Genomic DNA, 11,096 nt, shown 5'->3' with positions numbered 1-11,096 from the left:
ACCCAGTTGGCTGGGTACGGTGGCTCACACCTATAATCCCAGCACTTTGGAAGGCTGAGGTGGGTGGATCACCTGAGGTCAGGAGTTTGAGACCAGCCTGTCCAACATGGTGAAATCCCTTCTCTACTAAAAATACAAAAACTTAGACGGGCATAGTGGTGGGCCTCTGTAATCCCAGCTACTCAGGAGGCTGAGGCAGGAGAGTCACTTGAACCCAGGAGGCAGAGGTTGCAGTGAGCTGAGATCATGCCACTGCACTCCAGCCTAGGCAACAAGAGCGAAACTGTCTCAAAAAAGAAAAGAAAAGAAAAAGATTTAGACCCAGTTAAAGAGAAATAGGCCAGACATAGTGGTTCATTCCTGTAATCTAAGCACTTTAGGATGCCTGGGCAGGAGGATCAAGGCAATGTAGTGAGACCATGTGTCTACAAAAAATAAAAAAATTAGCTGGGTGTGATGCTACATAGTCCCAGCTATTCAGGAGGCTGAAGTGGGAGAGTCACCTGAGCCCAGGTTGAAGCAGCAGTGAGCTGTGACTGTGCCACTGCACTCCAGCCTGGGCGACAGAGTGAGACCCTGTTTCAAAAAAAAAAGTAAAAGAAAAATTACCTATCAAGAAATGATAATTAGGCTGACAGTAGACCCCAACAGCAACAATAGAAAATAATGAAAATGGCCAGGTGTCGTGGCTCATGCCTGTAATCCCAGCACTCTGGGAGGCTGAGGCGAACATCTAAGGTCAGGACTTTGAGACCCAGAATGGCCAACATGATGAAACCCGGTTTCTACTAAAAATACACAAAAAATTAGCCAGGTATGGTGGTGCATGCCTATAGTCCCAGCTACCCAGGAGGCTGAGGCAGGGGAACCCCTTGAACCTATGAGGCAGAGATCACGCCACTGCACTCCAGTCTGGGCGACAGAGACTGTCTCCAAAAAAAAAAAAAAAAAAAAAAAACTAAAAGAAAATATTTTTCTCCCAAATGCTAAAATAAAGTAAGTAACTATCTGGAATTCTACATCCAGCTATATTATTATTTAAGAGTAAGAATAGGGGTGGGGTGACAAAGAGATTTTGTCAGTAATGCACTATCAAAACCTGAATCCAGAAAAGGAGTGGTGGGGGTTAAAAAAAAGAAAAAAAAAAAAAAAAACAAGCAGTGATGAGCAAAGAAAATGGTATTCAGCAAATTGAGGCCAGGCGCCGTGGCTCACGCCTGTAATCCCAGCACTTTGGGAGGCCAAGGCGGGTGGATCATGAGGTCCGGAGATCGAGACCATCCTGGCTAACACAGTGAAACCCCGTCTCTACTAAAAATACAAAAAAATTTAGCCGGGCATGGTGGCGGGCGCCTGTAGTCCCAGCTACTTGGGAGGCTGAGGCAGGAGAATGGCGTGAACCCGGGAGGCAGAGCTTGCAGCGAGCCAAGAGTGCACCACTGCACTCCAGCCTGGGTGACAGAGCGAGACTCCATCTCAAAAAAAAAAAAAAAATGGTATTTAGCAAATTGAAATAAGCCTTGACTGTAAAATAGTAACACCTAAACTATCTTTAAGGATATGAAAACAAGGTAGAACTAAAATATATTTATTAGTCATGTTCTTGGATAGAAATACTCATTTGTGGCTGAACATGGTGGCTCATGCCTGTAATCCTAGCACTTTGGGAGGCTGATGCAAGAGGATCACTCAAGCCCAGGAGTTCACAACCAGCCTGGGCAACATAGCAAGACCCTGTTGCTTTTTGTTTTGAGGTGTTTTTTTTTTTAATTTAAAAGAAAAAAAATTAAATACTTTTTTTAAAGAAATACTCATTTGTCATAGGGATGGGAATTATCTTTAGGTTGACTTATAAATCTAACATGATGCTGATAAAAATACTGTAAGGGTTGCTCTTTTTGGGGAGAACCCCAGGCATGGTGGTGTATACCCATAGTCCCAGCTATTTGGGAGGCTGAGGTGACAGCATCACCTGAGCTGAGACTGCAGTGAGCTGTGATCAAGCCGCTGCACTTCAGCCTTGGCAATGAAGTGAGACCCTGTCTCAAAAATAAAATAAATTAAACTAAATTAAAATTAAATAAATTTTAAAAATAAAATAAAATAAGATGCTTACCCTTCTAGTTGTTGTGAAGATTAAATGAGTTATTCATAAAGTGCTTACAACATTGCCTGGCACATAATAAGTACTCAACTGAATTCTAGTTTCGGTTAGTTTCTCCTGTTATAACTGTATGAGTCTGTTTCAGGGCTATTCTGATCCAATCATCTGCTATCTATCTATTCATACGTCAGAACCACTCATGGCACCATTTTACAATGTTAAGAGAAGTCTATGTGCAAGCTCCTAAAAACCACATTTCTTTCCTTCTTTCTTATCTTAGAGACAGGAGTCTTGCTCTGTTCCCCAGGCTGGAAGTAGGCAGTTGCCTGATCATGGCTCACTGTGGCCTTGAATTCCTGCACAAGTGATCCTCCTATCTTGGCCTCCCAAAGTGCTGGGAATACAAGTCTGAGCCACCAGGCTGAGCCCATAAAAAACATTTTTCTGGCCAGATGCAGTGTCTCATGCTTGTAATTCCAACACTTTGGGAGGCTGAGGCGGGCAGATCACCTGAGGTCACAAGTTCGAGACCAGCCTGGCCAACATGGTGAAACTCTGTCTCTAACAAAAATACAAAAATTAGCCAGGTGTGGTGGTGGGCACCTGTAATCCCAGCTACTCGGGAGGCTGAGGCAGGAGAATTGCTTGAACCCAGGAGGCAGAGGTTGCAGTGAGCCAAGATAGCACCATTGCACTCCCGCCTGGGCAACAAGAGTGAAACTCCGTCTCAGAAAAAAACAAACAAACATTTTTGTTAGTTCTTTCCTGTTGATTCTGTCAGATAAACTTTAGAATAATTTTCAGATCCTCCATCTCTTACCTATTCAGTTGAATTATATTACATTAATAAACTGAAAAGAAATGACATCTATATATCTAATAGGTCATTCCATCTTAGAAAATGGAATGGTCTCATAATTATTTCAGGCTTTTAAATTATCTCATAGTTTACTGCATGTCTCATTACCTGTTAAAGGCATTTTAAAATACTTTATGTTTTTGTTAATAAAGTGAGTGGTGGTATATTTTCCCTTAATTACATTTTCTGATTTTTGCTGGCATTATAAAACTATTGGTTTTTATACACTTGCTTTACAGCTAGTCAACAAGCTAAACTTTTAATTCTAAAAGTTGTCTCTTGGGTTTCCTGTTGTAAAATAATAGCTTATATCTCCTATAATACAATGAAAAATTGTATAACAAGTCTCAACAAAGGATATCAACGGAAAATTCTCAAAGGGGATTTTATTTTTTTAAGACAGAGTGCAGTGGCACTAACATAGATCACTGCAGACTCGAAATCCTGAGCTTAAGGGATACTTCCACTTTGGCTTCACTAGATGGATGCCACACATACCTGGCTAATTTTTTTTTTAATGTAAAAAACATGGGTGGGGTCTTGCTATGTTGCCCTGGCTGGTCTCAAACTCCTGGCCTCAAGCGATCTCCTGCCTCGGCCTCCCAAAGTGCTGTAATCCCAGCACTTTGGGAGACACCTCACCTGGCCTCAAAAGGGATTTTAAATTGCAAAACATGCAGAAATATTTAATCTGTCTGGGAAATAACCCCTGACTCCTGGCCTCCCAGTCTCCCAGAGACCATTACACAGAAGCAGGTCCATGTTTTACTAAAGGAAGAGTGTCAGCAATAAACTGTTGAGTGAAAAGACCAAGCTATAGGACAGCATGCACAGAATGAGCCCACTTTGTTAAAAAATATATTTCATATATACAGCACATACTAAATATAGCATGGATATAGAAAAGTATCTGGGAGATTAGGTATCAAATTATTAACGGTGCTTGTCTGTGGGGAATACAAGTAGGAGCAAACTTTTACTTTTTATTTTGCTTGCTATCTACCCCCAAATAGATTACTAATTCTGAAGCATTGCTTTAAGCTAGTAATATCTTTTTTCAGTTTCTTTTTAAACACACCTAAATTCAGAGGACAGAGGTAGACAATTTTTGCACATCCATCTTGAACTTAATCATTACACAGAAAAATAGCTGGAAAACTATTATGTTTTGAATATATGTTGAATACATACGATTTTTACTGCAGACATGATACATAGCCCATAGTGCCCAGAGCTGAACCTCTGGTTGAGAGAAGTTGCCAAGGAGCGGGAAAAATGTCTTGAAAGATCTAAAACAAAAAAAAGTACAAAGATGTTAATCCAGAACAGTTAGGCCAGTGCTCAGGGATATAATAATTTGTACTATATAATTAATATAATAATGTATATAATTTTCACAGCCGGGCATGGTGGCTCATGCCTGTAATCCCAGCACTTTGGGAGGCCAAGGTAGGTGGATTGCTTGAGCTTAGGAATTCGGGACCAGCCTAGGCAACAAGGTGAGCCCCCGTCTCTACAAAAAAAAAAAAAAAAAAAAAAAAAAAATTAGCTGGGCCTGGTGGCACACGCCTGTAGGGCCAAGTGGGAGGATCCTCAAGTGGGAGGATCACTTGAGCCTGGGAAGTCAAGGCTGCATTGAGATGTGATCCCGCCACTGCATTCCAGCTCCAGCCTGGGCAACAGAGAGAGACCCTGACTCAAAAGGTTGAAAAAAAAAGAATTTTCAAATTTTAAACATTTTCCCCACAGGGTCAACTTCTCCCTGTGACCGAGCATACAATGAAGCTATTATTTAAGAAATTGCATTCTGTATTAAACCCTTTATTATGATCAGTATCTCATTGCATCCTCAATCTTGCACACTGTCAGCCTCATTTTACAGACAAGGAAAGCTGACCTTCTAGAAATGACTTTCCCAATATCAGAGAAATAGGATTTGAACATAAGGCTAACTGACTCTAACACGTTATCACTGTATCACTGAGTACAGCCTTTAAGAAAAGCTCAACACTGGGCCAGGCACGGTGGCTCACGCCTGTAATCCCAGCACTTTAGGAGGCCGAGGCGGGCAGATCACGAGGTCAGGAGATCGAGACCATCCTGGCTAACATGGTGAAACCCCGTCTCCACTAAAAATACAAAAAATTAGCCGGGCATGGTGGCGGGTGCCTGTAGTCCCAGCTACTCGGGAGGCTGAGGCAGGAGAATGGCGTGAACCCGGGAGGTGGAGCTTGCAGTGAGCCAAGATTGTGCCACTGCACTCCAGCCTGGGCGACTGAGCAAGACTCTGTCTCAAAAATAAAAAAAAGAAGAAAAAAAAAAGAAGAAAAGCACAACACCATGAAATTACCTATAGGTCACCAATGCTGTCATCTTACAACTTGAACTTGGCCAATTCTGTATGGTTGCATGCTACTCCAAAAACAAGAGAGAGAAACCAACATTTGAATAATCCATCATTTACAACAAAATGTTTCAAAATCTGGGAACGATTGAACAAATTTAGATACATCTACTTGGCAAAATATCAATCACATAACGATTATATACACACAATATCTTAACAATGTGGGAAAAATTACAAGAACAAGGGGCATCTGTTTAAAGATGCTGGACTGAGCACGAATTTACCTCTACTCCTCCATAATCCCATTAACAGAAAGTAAAACAAAGAACAATGCACATGGAAAAATGGTAACTGATTTAATACCTAGCACTTAGAAAGGTTAAAACACAAACCAGGCTGGGCACAGTGGCTCACGCCTGTAATCCCAGCACTTTGGGAGGCCAAGGCGGGCGGATCACAAGGTCAAGAGATCGAGACCAACCTGGCTAACACGGTGAAACCCCGTTTCTACTAAAAATACAAAAAAAAATTAGCCGGGCATCTCAAAAAAAAAAACAAAAACCCAAAAAACAAAACACAAAACAAAAAACACAAACCAATTTGAAGAGAACCCCTAAGAGACTTAAAAATTTGGCACGTGAGGTACTTCCTGAAGTGAAATTACAGTGGGGCTGTAAATAGGAGGAGTGGGCCGGGCACGGTGGCTCATGCCTGTAATCTCAGCACTTGGGAGGCCAAGGCGGGTAGATCACCTGGGGTCAGGAGTTTGAGACCAGCCTGGCCAACACGGTGAAACCCGTCTCTACTAAAAAAATCCAAAAATTAGCCGGGTATGGTGGTGTGTGCCTATAATCCCAGCTACTCAGGAGACTGAGGCAGGAGAATCGCTTGAAGCCAGGAGGCAGAGGTTGCAGTGAGCTGAGATGGCGCCACTGCACTGCACTCCAGCCTGGACAACAGAGCGAGACTCCATCTTGGGAGAAAAAAAAAAAAGAAAGAAAAAGAAAATAGGAAGACTGGTTCAAAGGATTCGGACTCCCCGATTTCTTCTGTGATCCTTAATAAAAACATCTGGACTGGGCAACCCCATAAACAATTCAGGGTGGGAACACCATGATAAAAACAGGGGTGTGTCTGGAGTTAAAACCTAAATACTAAATGTTGAGATCCCCTGCCCCTCAACTCTCTCCTTTTACTAGGCTTTCAGACTACTGACAATTAAGCTTATAATTTTTTTTTTCTGAATATGAATTTTCACTCTTGTTGCCCAGGCTGGAGTGCGATGGCACGATCTCGGCTCACTGTAACCTCTGCTTCCTGAGTTCAAGCAATTCTCCTGTCTCAGCCTCCCAAGTAGCTGGGATTACAGGTGCCCACCACCACGCCCGGCTTTTTTTTTTTTTTGAGGCAGTCTCGCTCTGTTGCCCAGGCTGGAGTGCAGTGGCACGATCTCGGCTCACTGCAAGCTCCACCTCCCAGGTTCACGTCATTCTCCTGCCTCAGCCTCCCGAGTAGCTGGGACTACAGGTGCCCGCCACCACGCCCAGCTAATTTTTTGTATTTTTAGTAGAGGCAGGGTTTCACCATGTTAGCCAGGAGGATCTCGATCTCCAGACCTCATGATCTGCCCGCCTCGGCCTCCCAAAGTGCTGGGATTACAGGCGTGAGCCACCGTGCCCGGCCACGCCCAGCTAATTTTTTTTTTAATTTTATTTATTGGCCGGGTGCAGTGCCTGACTCCTGTAATCCCAGCACTTTGGGAGGCCGAGGTGGGTGGATGACCTAAGGTCAGGAGTTGGAGACAAGCCTGACCAACATGGTGAAACCCCGTCTCTACTAAAAAAATATATACAAAAATTAACTGGGCATGGTGGCAGGCGCCTGTAATCCCAGCTACTCGGGAGGCGGAGGGATCACTTGAACCCAGGAGGCAGAGGCGGCAGTGAGCTATGATCATGCCATTGCACTCCAGCCTGGGTGACAGAGCAAGCCTCTGACACATTCTACCTGTCTGCAGTTTTCAATCAGTCCCACTCTTAGCTGTCCCCATGGACAGCTCAGAATCACCCTAACTTTAGGAAAATCTCTAACACAATGGAACAAAATAAATAGGAAAAAAAGCAACTTGCAGGAAACAGTAGCCTTGGACGAACAGGAAAACTTAAAAATTAGGCTGGGCATGATGGCTCATGCATGTAATCCCAGCACTTTTGGAGGCTGAGGTGGGCAGATCCCTTGAGGTCAGGAGTTTGCGACTAGCCTGGCCAACATGGTGAAACCCTGTCACTACTAAAAGTACAAAAGTTAGCTAGGTGTGGTGGCATGCAGCTGTAGTCCAGCGACTTGGGAGGCTGAGGTGGGAGGATCACTTGAACCCAGGAGGTGGAGGATGCAATGAGCTGAGATCACACCACTGCACTCCAGCCCGGGCAACAGACCGAGTCTCAAAAAAAAAAAAATCTTTTTTTTAAATTGGCCAGGCATGGTGGCTCACACCTGTAATCCTAGCACTTCAGGAGGCCAAGGCAGGTGGATCACTTGAGGTCAGGAGTTCTAGACCAGCTTGGCCAACATGGTGAAATCGTCTCTACTAAAAACACAACAATTATTGTGTTTTTACAGGTGTGCATTACCACACCTGTAATCCCAGCTACTTGGGAAGCTGAGGCAGGAGTATCACTTGAACCCAGGAGGCGGAGGTTGCAGTGAGCTGAGATGGTGCCACTGCACTCCAGCCTGGACAACAGAGTGAGAGCCTATCTCAAAAAGATAAAATAAAATAAAATAAAATTTAAAATTATCATTATTACGTTCAAAGAGAAAAATAGATATAGAACTATGAAACAAAAACAGGATATTATATTTTTAGAAGAGGATTCAGAACAAAAAAGATAAATGAGCTAGATATGAAAAGATGAGTCTGGGAAGGCCAACATCCCAGAAAAAAATGATTAAAGAAATGTCCCAGGGAGGAAATGAGCTTCCTGACTGATAAGTACTCAACAAAATATATGAAAATAAACCCACAAAGAAGAAAAAAATTAACAAAAAATAAACAAAAAAATGAAAATAAACCCACAGGGTAAGCCATTGTGATTTCTGAACACTGAGGACAAAGGACAAAAACCTTAAAGCTTAAAAGAAAATTGCATGGGAGTTCTCAACAGTGATCCTGACAAGTAAAAGACAATGAAGCAAACATTTTTAAATTATGAAGGAAAAATATTTCAAAGCTAGAATTCTATACCCAGCCATTTGATCAATTAAATGTGAGGGTAAAATAAAGGCCTTTTTAAACAGGTATGGTCTCATTTCAAGACTCTTTTCTTAGGAAGCTACTGGAGAATATGGTCCAACAAAAGGTGGGAGTAAACCAAGATACAGGGAGGCACATAAGCCAGGAAACACGGAATCCAACACAAGAGAGGCAAAGGGAGTCCGAGGATGACAGCAGTCCACCATATACGGTGTACAAAACAAGCAGACCACATGGAAGGAATGCAAAGGTAAGAAAGTCCTGAGAAGGTGAAGTGTACAGAATATGTATGAAGATTTATACCTTGAGTATACACTTAGAAAGGCTGTGCATAGAAACAGTGAGAAAAAGAATCTTAGTTTCCCAAAGTGGGAAAATGAATTGATAGATTCCTAAAGCGATAAAGTCAAGAACAGCAGCATAATATGTTATTTAGAAATAAGGAAGTTGGCTAGGCGCGATGGCTCATGCCTGTATTCCCAGCACTTTGGGAGGCCAAGGTAGGCAGATCGCTTAAGCTCAGGAGTTTGAGAACAGCCTGGCCAACATGGCAAAACCCCATCTACAAAAAATACAAAAATTAGCTGGGTGTGGTGGCACACACCTATAGTCTCAGCTACTTGGGAGGTTGAGGTGGGAGGACCACCTAAGCCTCCGAGGTTGAGGCTGCAGTGTGCTGTGAATTGTGCCACTGTGCTCCACCCTGGGAGACAGACCCTGTCTCAAAAAAAAAAAAAGAAACATCAATAAAGTAAATAGTTTTAAAAAAAAAAAGCTGATGAGAAAGAGGACCGAAGTAAGTCATATGCAACAAAATGTTAACAGAGATAGTTTTGGATGGAAAGATATGGGTTAGTAATAAGTTTTTCTCTATTTTTCCCACTTTCTACAATCATATTATTATGATTTAGGAAACTACATTTTCTGTAATTAGAGATTACTCTGGATTTTATAAATAAGAATGTGGTTCCTGTACCAGATCTTGGAGAAGAGTACGCCTCTGGAAGTCACGGGATATCCAAAGCTGTCTGTCAGATGTCAGGTGGGCTATGATACCTGCAGCAAAATAGCTGACTTCCATTTCCCTGCTACAGAGTAAACTGTTGATATGCTTCAGCACATCTTCGGTCACCAGCTTGGAAGAGAGCTCTCTGACTTCTGCTATGTTGTTCTACAGGTCAGATGGAGCAGAGAACCCCAGAGACAAGAAGGGAGGGGAGAATCAGGAATTGGCTTTTTTCCCTTTCCTGCTTCTCAGGTCAGATAAATTCAGAACTCTTATTCTTATACCCGCCTCCGCCTCAAGCTAGCCTAAAACCCACAATCCAACTCCCTTGATGAGGATGATCATTAACAACAATCACTAAATAAGTACTTACTAAGTGCCAGGCACAGTACTAGATAAATAAAATTGTCTTTTTATCTACCTTATCTCATTTAATCTTTAAAATACTACTACAAAGAAATGTGACACTAAGCAAGACAAACTTGTCAAGTTCATACTGCTAATAACTGGATGAACTAGAATACAAATCAAGGCCTAATTCAAATACTTAACATTACTGAAGGCCTGCTCAATGTTACGTTATCTTTTAACAACAACAATGAAAGTCAGGCAGTATTTTATTTTATATGTTACACTAGTTTTCTATGCTGTGTAACAAATTACCACAAACTTAGTGGCGTAAAACAACATGCATTTATGATTCCCTGGTTTCTGTGGGGCAGGAGTCTCAGCATGACTTAGCTAGACCCTCTTCTCTGAGATCTCACAGGGCTGCAATCAAAGTGTTGGCTGGGCTGCATTTTCACCTGGAGGCTCCACCGGGGGAGAATTTACTGCCAACCTCACTCAGACTGCTGGCAGAATTCATTTCTGGTGGCTGCAGGACTGAGTGATTCAGTTTCTTGCTGGAGGCCACGTTCGGCTCCTAGAAGCTGCCCCAAGTTCCTTAAAAGGTGGGCTTCTCCCTCCTCCAACCACTTACTTCATGACTGTTTGCTCCTTCAGGGCCAGAGAGAAAGAGTCCCTACAGTGGGCCTGCTAGCAAGACAGATACATATATATAAGTATATAGTAACATAATCATGGGAGTGATATTTTATCATCTTTGCCATATTCCCTTGGCTAGAATCAAGAAACAGGTCCTGTCCACACTCAAGGGTAGGGGATGTCAGTGCCAGGAGGCTGGAATCACTGGGAGAGTCTGTCTACAAAAATGAAAAACCAAAGGTTTAATGAGGTGAAACAGTCAAAGTAAACACAGCAGTTTGTGTTAGCATTAACTGCTGCTTCTGATGAACCATTCAGGAAAGCACACTCTAGACACTAGTATATTGAGGCACATAGGACACTAAAGATTGAAGCAGAAATTGAGATGTCCCCCCCACGCCTGTTTTTCCCAAGACCAGCTATATCTCTCATCTACGCATGATTTCAGTGTTAAGTCTATCATATGTTACCCCCTAACAAGACATTCTTAGCACAACTGAGAGGGGCACCACAGGTGAGTCCCAAGATTTTTCTTGT

The 11,096-nt window shown here is 42.6% G+C and overlaps 1 protein-coding gene across 7 annotated transcripts in view; it reads right to left on the bottom strand.

Annotated features, from left to right (window-relative positions):
• ZYG11A (zyg-11 family member A, cell cycle regulator) overlaps nt 1–11,096 on the bottom strand; it is a 52,239-nt gene that overhangs the window by 3,791 nt on the left and 37,352 nt on the right. For 4 of the 7 annotated variants that reach the window (NM_001004339.3, XM_011541480.4, XM_011541481.4 and 1 more), the window contains 3 exons: nt 9,543–9,737; nt 5,314–5,375; nt 4,155–4,252 (listed from right to left, as the gene is read on the bottom strand). In NM_001004339.3, the coding sequence (NP_001004339.2) occupies nt 4,155–4,252; nt 5,314–5,375; nt 9,543–9,737 (355 nt within the window). Of the gene's footprint in view, nt 1–4,154; nt 4,253–5,313; nt 5,376–9,542; nt 9,738–11,096 lie in introns of those variants that run through there. The other 3 variants (XM_011541482.4, XM_011541483.4, XM_011541486.2) reach the window with 2 other exon arrangements.

This window comes from Homo sapiens, chromosome 1, assembly GCF_000001405.40.
Source record: "Homo sapiens chromosome 1, GRCh38.p14 Primary Assembly".
Lineage (NCBI taxonomy): Eukaryota > Metazoa > Chordata > Mammalia > Primates > Hominidae > Homo > Homo sapiens.
Note: the sequence above shows the minus strand (reverse complement) of the source record. Positions and strands in the feature narration are given on the sequence as shown.